General features: G+C 52.7%; 1 long non-coding RNA gene across 2 annotated transcripts, besides 9 other annotated features; it reads left to right on the forward strand.

The window, feature by feature from the left end:
* Positions 2,982 to 3,061: an enhancer, noted in NCBI's record as "active region_15291". NCBI's record gives its function as "activates an Ori minimal core promoter by ATAC-STARR-seq in GM12878 lymphoblastoid cells {active_cell/tissue: GM12878}" and the evidence as "EXISTENCE:reporter gene assay evidence [ECO:0000049][PMID:35858748]".
* Positions 4,909 to 4,988: an enhancer, noted in NCBI's record as "active region_15292". NCBI's record gives its function as "activates an Ori minimal core promoter by ATAC-STARR-seq in GM12878 lymphoblastoid cells {active_cell/tissue: GM12878}" and the evidence as "EXISTENCE:reporter gene assay evidence [ECO:0000049][PMID:35858748]".
* Positions 5,289 to 5,358: an enhancer, noted in NCBI's record as "active region_15293". NCBI's record gives its function as "activates an Ori minimal core promoter by ATAC-STARR-seq in GM12878 lymphoblastoid cells {active_cell/tissue: GM12878}" and the evidence as "EXISTENCE:reporter gene assay evidence [ECO:0000049][PMID:35858748]".
* On the forward strand, positions 7,016 to 9,037 carry LOC124905969 (uncharacterized). 2 transcript variants are annotated; one of them, XR_007086205.1, is made up of 3 exons: positions 7,016 to 7,152; positions 7,985 to 8,447; positions 8,575 to 9,037. It is a non-coding gene; the product is annotated as an uncharacterized LOC124905969 (long non-coding RNA). The 2 variants fall into 2 exon arrangements; XR_007086204.1 differs by having other exon boundaries at positions 7,985 to 9,037.
* Positions 7,251 to 8,037: an enhancer, noted in NCBI's record as "H3K4me1 hESC enhancer chr2:9893196-9893982 (GRCh37/hg19 assembly coordinates)". NCBI's record gives its function as "activates a minimal SCP1, AML or CMV promoter by ChIP-STARR-seq in naive H9 embryonic stem cells {active_cell/tissue: H9 hESC(naive)}" and the evidence as "EXISTENCE:reporter gene assay evidence [ECO:0000049][PMID:30033119]".
* Positions 8,038 to 8,824: an enhancer, noted in NCBI's record as "H3K4me1 hESC enhancer chr2:9893983-9894769 (GRCh37/hg19 assembly coordinates)". NCBI's record gives its function as "activates a minimal SCP1, AML or CMV promoter by ChIP-STARR-seq in naive H9 embryonic stem cells {active_cell/tissue: H9 hESC(naive)}" and the evidence as "EXISTENCE:reporter gene assay evidence [ECO:0000049][PMID:30033119]".
* Positions 8,038 to 8,871: a biological region, named in NCBI's record as "H3K4me1 hESC enhancer GRCh37_chr2:9893983-9894769".
* Positions 8,722 to 8,871: an enhancer, noted in NCBI's record as "active region_15294". NCBI's record gives its function as "activates an Ori minimal core promoter by ATAC-STARR-seq in GM12878 lymphoblastoid cells {active_cell/tissue: GM12878}" and the evidence as "EXISTENCE:reporter gene assay evidence [ECO:0000049][PMID:35858748]".
* Positions 10,899 to 11,421: an enhancer, noted in NCBI's record as "H3K4me1 hESC enhancer chr2:9896844-9897366 (GRCh37/hg19 assembly coordinates)". NCBI's record gives its function as "activates a minimal SCP1, AML or CMV promoter by ChIP-STARR-seq in naive H9 embryonic stem cells {active_cell/tissue: H9 hESC(naive)}" and the evidence as "EXISTENCE:reporter gene assay evidence [ECO:0000049][PMID:30033119]".
* Positions 11,422 to 11,944: an enhancer, noted in NCBI's record as "H3K4me1 hESC enhancer chr2:9897367-9897889 (GRCh37/hg19 assembly coordinates)". NCBI's record gives its function as "activates a minimal SCP1, AML or CMV promoter by ChIP-STARR-seq in naive H9 embryonic stem cells {active_cell/tissue: H9 hESC(naive)}" and the evidence as "EXISTENCE:reporter gene assay evidence [ECO:0000049][PMID:30033119]".

Below are 12,753 nucleotides of genomic sequence, written 5' to 3' on the forward strand. Positions count from 1 at the left end.
AGAAAACAATGATCCCAATCACCTTTACTGAAGCAAATCCTATCCTCTGGTTCTATCTTCACCTGGGGGCCTCTAACATCCTTCGAAGATGCTTCGCCGCAATTCCTTCCAGAAGTCTGCAGATGCTTGCCTGTGCTTGGCCATGCTGGAGTGACCACGTGGATCACGTCCCGGCTCTTCTTCTAGGGGCTCAGGACCGCTGGGGGTGGGGGTAGGGCAGTGAGAAATTGGAGGCTGATGCATTACCTATGGACCCATAGTGAGTACCCCAAAACCTAGCAGCTTACAACAGCTTTATGATCTTACACAATTTCTGAGGGTCGGAAGCCCAGCTTAGCTGGTACCTCTGGCTCGGACTCTCCTGCGAGGCTGCAGTCAAGTCGTTGGCTAGATCTGCATCATTGAAATCCCGGAAGGCCGGAGGATCCATTTCTAAGATGGGGAACTCCCATGGCTGGTGGCTGGTGTCCTCAGTTCCAGGATGGCTGTTGGCTAGGGCCCCCAAGGACCCCCAGCCACCTCCAGACTCCACATAGGTGTCTCCAGGGCAGTTGACTCCCCAGAGTAAGTGATTTGGTAATGAGCAAGTGACAGTGCCACTAAAACAGAAGCTGCTGTGTCCTTTATAACCTAACCTCAGAAGTGACATCCCATCACTGTGGCTGTATTTACTGAGTTGAGTCCACACTCCAAGAGCAGGCTGTGAGGGCCGGGAAATGGGATCACTGGGCGCCCCCCTGGAGCATAGAATCCAAGCAGAGAGGCCTGGCCACTCTTAAGTGACATTTCCCTCAGTCTGGGCAGCCCAAGGAGTTGTCGTCTACTCTGAGTGGGGGTGGGAGAGCCATCTGCTCCCAAGCTTTTCCTGGGGCAGTGCCAGATAATCCAGGCAACCCCCCTTTTCTATAAAGTTTTTCCTGGTGGCCATTACATTCCTCTTCTTTGATCTAGACATCGCCCTACTGTTGCCTTTACCATGAGCTTTCCAAACAAACAACCTCAAATTAATAATAAGCACAGCTCTCGTACTAATTACCATTTTAGTCCTAGGCCTAGTCCTAAGTCCTTGGTGTGGAACTCTCACCTGGGGAGGCTCAGCCAGTTATCCAAAGGACCCGTCCTCATGTTAACCTGCCCCCCCTGATCTCAGGGGTTCTGGAAGGCAGAGTGTTCCTCCTGTGACCCACAAGGCAAACCTCCTGTCATGGCATCAGGACCAGGCTACACAGTTTGGGAGGCCCAGTGCCAAATGAAATGTGTGGCCCCTTGTTCAAAAATTATTAGGAATTTTGGCAGGGCTCAGTGGCTCATGCCTGTAATCTCAGTGCTTTGGGAGGCTAAGGTGGGAGGATCACTTGAGTCCAGGAGTTTGAGACCAGCCTGGGCGATGTAGTGAGTGAGACTCCATTTCAACAAAAAATTTAAAAATTAGCTGGGTGTGTTGGCATGTACCTGTAGTCCCAGCTACTTGGGAGGCTGAGGAGGGAGGGTTACTTGAGCTGGGGAGGTGGAGGCTGCAGTGAGCCATGATTGCACCACTGCACTCCAGCCTGGGCGACGGAAAGACCCCATCTCAAAAAATAAAAAAAATTTTTTTAACATGATGACAACATTAAACTAATTACAGGAGCCTTGGAAGTGCGGGGCTCTGTACAACTCTGCAGGTCACATGGGCATGAAGCTGGCCCTGCACAGCACAGAATGCAGCAGGTCTGTTGGAGTGAAAGGTGTCACAGTGGGTTTGTGTCTCTATCCCAGGGCCTGGCACTGGGATGTCCCCCCGCTTGGCCAAGGCTGCTCATGCCCCCAGCCCTGGGGAAGATGTGGCTGATGGTCACAGCATCTTCAGAGACCCCTCCCCTACCCCCAGAGAGTCAATTCACTTCACTTCATGGGTCACGGGATTCTGAAATGTTTATGAAGCTGCCTGTTAGTTCTTACTTAGTTTTAAACGTGGCCCCTTATTCTACAACTCAGACAGAAGTCACATCAGGCTTGAGGATAAACCCTGCCTACTTAATTTCAATTCTCACAGACTCCTCAGCTTTTCAGAAATATATTTTATGTATGTATGTATGTATGTATGTACGGAGACAGGGTCTCACTTTGTTGCCAGCTGGAGTGCAGTGTGATCACAGCTCACTGCAACCTTGAATTCTTGGGCTTAAGTGATCCTCTCGCCTCAGGTTCCCAAAGTGCTGGGATTAAGGGCATGAGCCACTGTCTTTCAACATATAGTAGCTGGTTTATTTCATAATTGCTATGTTTTGAATGTGTCCCCCAGAAGTTAGGGCTTTAGAAACCTAATCCCTTTGCCCTCTTGAATGGATTAATGGATTCATGAGGGCTTTGCCTTTATGAATGGATCAATGTCACTATCATAGGAGTAGGTTCATTATCACAGGAGTGATTTTGTTATAAAATGGAGCTCTCTGGCTATCTTGCTCTTGCTCTGTCACCATGTCCTTTGCTGGGATGCATCGTCATGCAGCACAAAGGCCCTCGCCAAGGGCTGGTGCCATGTTCTTGGACTTCCTAGCCTCCAGAACGGTGAGCTAAATAACCTTTCTTTAAAAAAACAAATTACCCAGTCTGTGATATTCTGTTGTAGCAACAGAATACAGATTAAGACAGTAATTCTATGTATTATTTTATTTGATTCATTATTGGCAGCCACCAAACTACCAAAGGGGTCCATGGCACAAAAAGGATAAGACTGTCAGGAAGAGATGACCTGGCAAATGCAGATGTGGAAAAGGAATAGGCTTGGAGCAAATGCAAGGTTTAATCGCTCTTTCAGGGTTGTATGCTCCCTGCCCCTACTAATTTAGTAAATGGCTTTGTCACGGGTGTGTTATTGTTTGCTTTTCTTTATGGCATCCCTCATGTCTGGGCTAAGCAGGTGACTAAGCACTTGGGGCTTGATGGGCTGAAGATGGGGCATCCCCAGGCTCTCTGTTCTTGGAGAAACAGCTGCAGAGTGTTCCTTGAATATGTGTCAGGATCTAATTTTACTAGGAGGAAAAAAACCCTGTGAAACTATAGATGCGAATGTGAAAGAACAGAGGGGAGGTTATCTGCCTTGGGCCTTCCCTTCTCGTCCTAGTCATTTGTTGAGCATTTACATGCATTGCCCCCATTTAATTCTCGTAGAGCGTGGGAAGTAGTTTTCTATTCCTACTTAACAGAAGAGGAAATGTTACAGGAGGTATTTCAAGACTTACTCCAGGTAAAGCTGTTTGCAAATGACAGAGCTAGAGCTTGGTGGTCCCAAAGCCTGTGTCATGCTGTTCTCACTGCCTCTGTGCCCAGCCTATGTAGGGCAGGGAGAAGAACACCAGGGTGGCATTAGGCAACTCATGGGTGTCTGGAGAATCAAACAAGGCAATATATACCTGATGAAAGGAGCCTCAGAAATTCAAAGCAAGTGATTGCTTTCATCTAGGATGGTCCAAGAAGTCTTTCTTGAGCTGGATCATAACAGATTCAGACATGGAGAGGTGGAGAGAAAGCTGTGGGGCTGATCGTGGGGGGTAGGGGCAGCAAGGGGATGGGTAAGGACAGATCAGAGGAGGTGGAGGGGATCAGTAAGAGAGGGGGCTGGTGGCCTGGGATGGATGAACGCGAGCTTGATTGCCAAGTTGAGCAGTTTATACTTATTTCAGTAGGATATTGGGGAGCCACCAAAGTTTCTTCAGAGGGGAAGCTGTACAATAAAGCTTCACTTTAAGAAATGAATTGGGAGTTAGGGGGTGGCAGGCCTGGAGACTGGGAAACTGGTTAGGAAGTTATTGCAACTGCTTGGGTGAGAAATGCTGAGGACCTGAAATAAGGTGATGGAGGGGAGACAGGAAGGTCAGCAGGAGCTGGACGCCTGATTGCATGGCAGGGCACGGGTGGCTGGGAGGACCCAGCGGGGCATGTGGACAAGAGAGAAGTCACGGGAGGCTGAGAGGACCAGCTATATGGCTTTTAGCATTGGAGTGGCCACGGGGAGTTTTAGCTAATTCATCCTGCAGGTTCCCATAGGTTCTGCAAGGGAAGCCCAACTGGCCTGTGATAGATACCTGTCTGGAGCCCAAGCTCTCCAAGCTGTCTCCTGGTTTCCAGGAGAGATCAGCCCTTGCCCCAGGCCTGCTACATTGGCTTTCGCTTTTCCCAGTTTAGCCCCAGAAGTGGTGGGAGCAGATGCTTTGACCACAAACTAGAGCCATGAAGCCAGTTGTGGTGGCATGGAATGAACTGGGGAAGTATTGCACCTGTTCATGGAACAGGTGGGATGAATGAACTGAGGAACTGGCCTCAGACCCGGGGAAGTATTGCACCTGTTCATGGAAGATGATCAAAGAAGCGGCAGGTGCATTTTCTTCCTCCTTTGCAAATGGCCAATCGCCCTGAGTTTTCCATGAAAGAAAGGGCCACGGACAGTAATGGTGCAGCTCTCAGACTCTGGACCCCAACTATTAGAGTTGGGCCCAAATCCCAGCTCTGCAGGTACTTGCTGTGAGACTTTGGGCAAGTTACTTAATCTCTCTGTCCATCAGTTGCTTCATCTGTAAAATGGGGATAATACTGGTACGCACCTCCATGGACTACGGAGGATAAGTGAGTTAAAACACAGAATGCTAATCGTGCCTGGTATGTAGTTGGTGCTTAATAAATAAATGTTGAATGAATTAGTTTTTTAGAATGAAACATCCCAAGGAGAAAAATCAGAGGTGATTTTTTTTTTCTCTTTTGCATGTGAAATGGAAAAATCTAGATAAGAAAGTGCCTAGCTTTGTTCTGGCCATATCACAATAGTCCATTTGAGTTGGGGGAGAGGGGAGTTACTGGAGGGAGTACCCTAAAAACTCACAAAAAATGATTTCCTTTCTCTGCTTGTTGAAATTCTCCCTTCAAGGCCCAGTTTAAGTGTCACCTCCTCAGAGCAGCCCTCCTTGGTTTCCACCCTTCCTCACCCCTGTCAGACTCGTGGCTTCCTCCTCTATTCTCCCCAGTGTTCAGCATGTAGGTTGATGGTAGCACTCACTAATTCTGCTTTGTTTTACCTGTACTCAAGTTCATGGCTGTCTCCTCTCTGTGGTGGAGCTTTGGGTTGGACGGGTCTGGGAAGTCCCACCTACAGCTGACAGGCTGGGCTGGGCTCCAGGCCATCACAGGTCCCCCATCAGCAGCTCTCTCAACCCTGGCCTTGTGCCTACAGACCAAATGTGGCCAATGCGTTGAATTAGCAGCACTTTCAGGATCAAATCACAAAGCAACTCCTTCCTCTGTCCTGATTTAGTCAGGGGAATCACCTCTTCTCGGCCACTGCTGCAAACTCAGGCAATCCTATTACGTTTCTGGTTGCTCTTAGTTAATAAAAACTGTCTCACTGCAGGAAGGTTAAATGTCCCGTCCTGAATTTGAGTGAAAATGAAGTCTTCTTGCCTCTGCTGTCTTGAGCTTGCTGCAGGTAGGAAGCCTGCAGCTGGGAAGGGGCTTAGCTTTTCCCTCCTTCCTCACCCAGCTCACTGTCCGCATGCTACTCAGACATCCCCGCATCTGACCCAGCAGACCGCTCCTGCTCCTGCTCCTGCAAGTGTCTCCCCTGGCTCCTGTGAGGCCCACTGGCCTGGTGTCCGCTCTTTCTGAGGCTGTGACATTGGAGCTGTCTCTTTGGCTCTTCTCCGTCCACACTCTGTCCCTGGAGAGCTGCACCCCAGCAACATTCCCGTCTCTCCCTTCAACCCAGATACTCCCTGAGCTCCAGACTGTAGTTTCCAATGTTGTTTTCCAGTGTTCAACCTGACAGCGGCCGTTGGCTCCAAGGCTTCCTGAACTCAGTAACTGCCCCACTTAATTGCTGAGATGAGAAACCCCTGGTGGTGCTTGTTTTCTCTCTTTCGCTCCAAATCCATGCACAATCTAGCCCTGAGTTCTGCAGGCTCTGCAGCAGTGGTTCTCAGCCCAGAGGGACCGTGGCCCCCAGGGCACATTTGGCAATGTCTGGAGACATGTTTTATTGTCATAATTGGGGGTGGGTAGGGCTATGGGTTTCTAGTGGATTGGGGCCAGGGATGCTTCTAAATACCCTACAGTGCACAGGCCAGACCCCACAGTGAAGTGTCTTCCAGTCCAAAATGTCGGTAGCAGCGCCCCAAGAAACCCCGCTCTGCAGCCAGAATATGCACCCTGCACCCTACGCTCCTCCCGCCTCCACTGCCGTGGCCCGGCCAGACCCACGTCTCCGCTGGCCTGAGTGACTGCAATGGCCTCTTCCACTCTTGCCCTCCAGCAGACTGGTTTCCACCACGCAGCCAGCAGTGCCTTCCTTCCTTCCTTTCTTTCTTTCCTTTTTTTTTTTCTGAGACGGAATCTTGCTCTGTCACCCAGGCTGGAGTGCAGTGGTGTGATCTTGGTTCACTGCAACCTCCGCCTCCTGTGTTCGAGCGATTCTCCTGCCTCAGCCTCTTGAGTAGCTGGGATTACAGGCGCGTGCCACCATGCCCAGCTAATTTTTTTTGTATTTTTAGTGGAGATGGGATTTCATCATGTTGGTCAGGCTGGTCTCGAACTCCTGACCTCGTGATCCGCCCGCCTTGGCCTCCCAAAGTGCTGAGATTACAGGCATGAGCCACGGCGCCCAGCCAGCAGTGCCTTTCTAAAGCATGAGATCCTGCCCTTCCCCAGCCTAAAACCTTCTGGTGGCTTTCAGATGAGAACTGAACTCATCCTTGGCCAACAAGGCTCCGGACAGTCCCTGCTGCCCATCACCCTCCAGGCTCAGTCTCGGGCACGGCTGCCCTGGCCGCTCTCTTGTCCTTTGCTGGGGGACTTTGCTCTTGCCATCCCATGGGCTTAGCATGCTCCTCCCAGACCTCAATGCACCTCCTCATCTCTCAGGTCTCTGCTCCCATGACCCAACCTCAGGAAGCTGGGGGTGCGGTGGGCGGGCTGTGGCCCAGGGCAGGTTTGGGGCTGTGCTTTGTGACTCAGCGCTGGTTCACTTCTCTGCACTGGGGTGTGGTGGGGGTGATGCTGCTTTTAGTCAAAGCAGCTACAAAACTCCGAGAGCAAGTCGGCCGTTTTCTACATCTGGGCTGGCCGGGCTCCTTCTCGGATTTATCACAGGCGGGCAGCCGCTGACCCCTCCCTTTGCTATTGGAGGTGAGGAGAAGGAAGGGGACACGGGCCCTGGGAACTCGCCCCTGCTGAGTTACTCTACTTTTGGCAGCCTGAAGTTCAGGCTCCTGGCCCAGCATTGCAGGTTCTCCACTGTCAGGGTGGACCCCAGGCTCAGAACCCTCATCAGCTCAGGGCTCTACCCCCGCCTGGAACCGACCCACAGACCTTCCCTTCCGTCCCTTGGCTCAGGACGCAGGCCAGGGCAAAAGTAAGGGGCACAAGTGGGGAGAAAACCTGTGGAGGTGCCTGCTTGGTGCAGGCTCAGGCAGAGGCTCTGGACATGACACTTCCCCTTTAACTGACTTATCACGCCCAACTTCCAGGCTGTGTCATGCCCATTATGCAGAGAAGTGAAATGAATCACAGAGAGTTCATTAACGGGACAAAGCCTCGCAGGGGAACAGGATTCAGTCGTAGAACTCAGGCCCAAATGACTCCGCAGCTGCTGGCACACCACGTGTGCAAGTGCAGACACACACACACACACACACACACACAGCCTGCCTGTGCTGCTGAGGATCGCGATAAGGACCAAGACCAAGAGAAAGAGTAGCCAAGGGGAGAGGGAAAGTCCTTTGTTGGGACAGTCCTGGTGGCAAACGGCATTTTGGCTGAGAAACCCCTTAAGTTAGATTTGACACCATGACTTGGGGTGGGGGGCACAAGCTTATCTCAGAGCCATCAACTCCCCCGCTCTGGGGTCTGGTTAATCTGTGTCAGGGACACAGCCCTGTGTGCTAAGAGGGAAGCTGGCCTTGTGTATGGGGCGGGCCGGGCACCCAAGGGCCCCGTGGCCCCCCCTTTTCTTCCCCAGGTGGCTGCCCCGCCCCAGAGGCGCTCCTGCCACCCGCCCCTCCGACGGGGGGTGCCTCCAGCCACTTGTCCACAGCCTCGGGAGTCCCCACAGCAGAGGCAGCCGTGGGAGGGTGAGTTCTGAGGAGATTGGGATCCTCTCCAGGGATGAGGGAGCCGGGCTGGAGGGGCTCTGTGGGGAGCGGGGAGACTTCGCTGGGGGACTCTGCTCCTGCTGATAGAAGAGAAGAGGAGCGCGCTATGGGCGTCTAGTGACTTGAGGCTGATAGAAAAGAAGGGGCCCCTGGCCAGGCTCCATGCTGAGGGCCGGGCGTGTTTGCTGCTTTTGAAGACAGAGAGCCTGGGGCGGGGAAGCTGGCGGCTCCTTCTTCCTCCCTCAGCTTGTCCCTTGCCCTGACCGGACACCCGGTGGGGCTCAGAGTTAATGGGGTCACAAGAGATCTACCAGCTCAGGAAAGAAGAAGGTGAGCAACAGGGACAGCTTCGGTTCTCCCATTCGGGGCGGGGTGGCCTCGGGCAGGTTACCCCATGGCTCTGCTCCTGAGCCTCCTCCCTGGGAAACTGGGCCAACACCTCCTACCTCACGGGCAGGCCGTGAGAACCAAACCTCGGAGTCATTCGCCACCAGGAAATGCAAATGAAAGCCACAGTGAGATGCCACCACACGCCCACGGCGACAGTGACAGACAATCAGTGCTGGCCGGAACGGCAGCTGCCCCCCTGACCTCCCCACTCCTCTCTGGCGGGAACGGAAAACAGCATAGCCCCCTTGGAAAACAGTTTGACCATTTCTCAGAAAGTTCCACGTCACCTCCTTATACTAGATGGGAGAAGAGTGTGTGAAGAATGATTCCATTCAGATGTTTCTAGAAAATGCACACTCATCACAGTGACAGAGGCAGATCAGAGTCTGTCTGGAGAGAGAGGGTGGGCAGGGGCAGGAGGGACGGGCGACAGAGGGGCACATGGCTTCAGGGGGCGGTTTCACAGGTGTAGACATGTCAAACTCATCAAATTGTACTGCTTCATTAAATGTCAGTTATACCTGGGTAAAGCTGTAGAAAATATCTTTTTGGAGGCAATAAAGGGTGGATTTACACTGAAAAAAAAAATGCAAGGCAAGTGAGGCACCTGGCACAGGACTGTTCAGTCAATGCCGACTGCTGAACATGTGAGCCCAGTTTCTCGCAACTTCCATTCATTCTTTCCTCCCAGAACATGGAAACGGAGCAAGGGGAGGGACAGGAGCTCTCAGTCCTGCCTTCAGGAGCGCCCAGAGACACGCTTCACAGAACTGGGTCGGGGTGCTAGGGATCCAGGTCAGGAGGGCCTCGCAGATGCCCAGAAGGTTCGGAGGAAGCAGCTGCAGTTTCCGGAATGTGCCAGGCTCCCTGGTGCTTCTGAGCGTCTGCAAGTGTGGCCCCCCTGCCTGAAACACCCCCACCCTCCTGCTGGTCTGGCCACCTCCCAGTCAGCCTTGTCCAGTTACCTTTTCCTGCCTCACTTCCCCACAGAGCGAGTGTGGCTCCTCTCAGCTCTCCCAGCCCCTCACCCTTGAGCCTCTAGTTTGGCAGCTGTCACACGAGCTACAGTCACGACTGGTCTGTCACCCATTGCAGACGGGGCTCCTGGAAGGGTGATGCTACGGCTCCCCCGGCTTCTAGCACGGGGCCCAGCACAGAATGGGAGCTGAGGAAATGTTTGCAGCAAGAGATAAAACTGCTTCACAGTGTGTGTTATGAGTTGAACTGTTTCCCCCAAAAAGATATGTTGAAGTCTTATGACCTGAATTGTGTTTCTCCAAAATCCATATGTTGAAGCCCTAACCCCTGTACCTCAGGATGTGACTGCATTTGGAGAAAGGGCCTTTAAAGAAGTAGTGTAATTAAGTTAAAATGAGGTCATGTGGGTGGGCTGTAATCCCATCTGCCTGGAGTCCTTACGAGAAGGGAAGATATGGACATAGCCATGCCCGGAGGAAAGGCCAGGTGAAGACACGGGGAGGAGACGTTCCTCTGCAAGCCAAGGAGAGAAGCCTCGGAAGAAACCAGCCCTGCGGACCCCTTGGTCGTGGACTTCCAGCTTCCAGAACTGGCAGAAATGCATTTCTATTGTTTAAGCCCCTGGGTCTGCAGTACTTTGTTATAGCAGTCCCGCAAACGAATACAAAGTCCTAACCCCCGGTGCCTCCGAAGGACCCTTATTTGGAACTAGGTCATTGCCGATGTGATAAGTTAAGATGATGTCATACTGGAGTAGGGTGGGCCCTGATCCAATATGAATGTATCCTTATAAAAAGGGGAAATTTTGACACAGACACACACACAGGGAGACCGCCACGTGGACACGAAGGCAGAGATTGAGGTGACGTGTCTAGAAGCCCAGGAATGCCAAAGGTGGCCAGAAAACCACCCAGAGCTGGGGAGGCCTGGAATAGAGTCTCCGTCACAGCCCCAGCAGGAACCATCCCTGCTCACACCTTGATCAGAGACTTTTGGCTTGCAGAACTGCAAGGCAGTGAATTTCTATTGTTTCAAGCCACCTAGTTTGTGGTACTTTGTTAGGGCAGCTCTGGCAAACTAACAGAATATGGGAGATTAAAATATCATCCCACTACAAGTTCATCCCAACAAGGGGTTCTGTCGGCGGCAGCACAAAGCTACCATGAAAACACCTAATTATGAGAAATGAGCTCCCAGACCCCCCTGCCCGTCACTCCCTGCTCTTATCAACTTCTGCCCCCTCCACTCACACGGACAACTGGTTTACCTGTCTGTGTCGCCCCCAAGCCAGCCACCCCCAGAACCATGCTCTGCCCATTGCTGGGCTCAGTAAAAACTCTCACTTGCGGCTAAATCACCCATCCAGAATCATACTCTGCTCCCTGAAATCCCAGACCCAGGCTGCACTGAGCCCTTCCACACGGGTACAAGAGCACATTTAGACCAAATTTCAGCAGGTCCAGGAAGGCCCTGGATGCCAAAGTTGGCACCTTCTGGTGCTTCCCGACATGCCACCCGTGGCTGACTTGCATTCTCTGCCTTGGCTGGTACCTGTCCAGCTGCACACCTGATACGCCCCAGCTCTAAATAAGGAGAGGAACTAAACCCAGCACTGCCCTGTGGCAAGCTGTGGAGAAGGAATGGGAGCGGGTGGAGGCGTACCTTCCTGCTCCATGGACGTGTGGTTAGGAAACACCATTCCCGGCCAGGAGCAGAAGCTGGGCTGGGGTGAGCCGAAGTCTCGGCCAAGACTCCTTGACCTTTAGGGAGTGCCTGAGACGCTACACAGCCAACAAGCTGCTGGGCCAGGGACAGTTGCAGAACCAGGATTGGCCTACTTTAGCCCCCTGCCCAGGGCTTGAATCCCCTCTGCAGTCTCCCTGCTTAGGGGACACCACTGTGTTTGAACACCTCAGCTGATGTGGGACTGCTGGCATCTTTCCTGCCTGGACCTGAGAATGGCTGGCCAAGGCTGAGGCTTGGAGTGGCTCATTCCCTTCCAAACTTGCCCATATCCGTGCAGTGGGCCACAGTTCCTGTCTGGGAGCCCCCCACTCCTGCAGGTCCTCCTCAGCAGCCTTCCCCATGGCTCTGTGTAAAATTTCACCCCCACCCCTTTTTCCTGCCATATTTCTCTTCTTGTCACTTTCCACCCTCTAAGTCCTGTTTGTGCATTTAACTGATAGCTTTTGGTCACCGTCTGTCTCCCCCCGTAGAGAGGCCACCCTGGGAGGGAGGGTTTATTTGGGGGCTCGGGGTTGCTACAGCAGGCACAAAGTCAGCAGCTGTGGCCTGACCGAATAGAAGAGAGGCTGGAGTGTTAAGCGGAGGCGTTTCTGCAGTGGGGCCACAACCACGCAGGGCTGGCTGGAGGGGGCTGGGCGGGGTTCCTACAGGGAGGTGATGGGTCCCGGTAGCTGTGCCGGGTCTCCTGCAGAAGAGGTTGCATTTCAGATCCGTGAGCTTCCCCTCATTCCAAACACTGGCTTCCTCCACTTCTTTTTCCTCCCCTGGGAATAATTGGAAAAATGATTCCTAAGCTGTCAGGAGAAAATAAAGAAACCATAGCGACCGATTCGCAGCCTCTCCTAAATCAGCCAAATGAGAAATAGATTTGGAACCACCTCTGGAGGGGGCGGCTAACATCTCCAGGAAGGCGACAACCATAGATTGTGTTTCAGCAGGCGGGGAGGGGCAAGGCTGGGGGTAAGCTGCCGAAAGCCCGCCTCAGCCACCCGCTGTGCTTCCAGTCCCTTCCCTGGCTCAGGGCTGGCTGGAAAGACAGAGACGTTTCATGCGGGGCTCCGCAGATGGCAGGCGTTCCACACCCATTCCCTCACTTCTCTGGAAATAGCCCCGGGAAGTAGGCAATGTTACTGACTCCGTGTCACAGACCAGGAAATGCAGACCTGCCTTGGCCGCAGAGCTGGTTCATGGGAGGGGGATGGAGCCAGTTCTCACGCTGACATTGGCCTGGTCCCCACAACTGTGCCTTTTCTGTTGTGTCCCCAGAATTTTAACATTCTCCAGCCAGACACAGGCCAAGACCGACAATGCTTCACTTGGTGAAGACCATTTTCTGTTCCTCCAGCAGCCTCCGTGACCTCGGGTGGGCCATTCGGTCAAGTAATCCTGAATTTACCTCCCAGTAACATTGTGTCTTTGAGCCGTCATCAGGCTTCTTTCAGGGTAGACCCACGGGACTGTGTAGAAAAGGGCTTGAAGGAGGAGATTTGTGCCGGAGCCCCTGGTGCTGTCAAAGTCAAAT

The sequence above is a fragment of the Homo sapiens genome, chromosome 2 (genome assembly GCF_000001405.40).
Source record: "Homo sapiens chromosome 2, GRCh38.p14 Primary Assembly".
In the NCBI taxonomy this organism is placed as follows: Eukaryota; Metazoa; Chordata; class Mammalia; order Primates; family Hominidae; genus Homo; species Homo sapiens.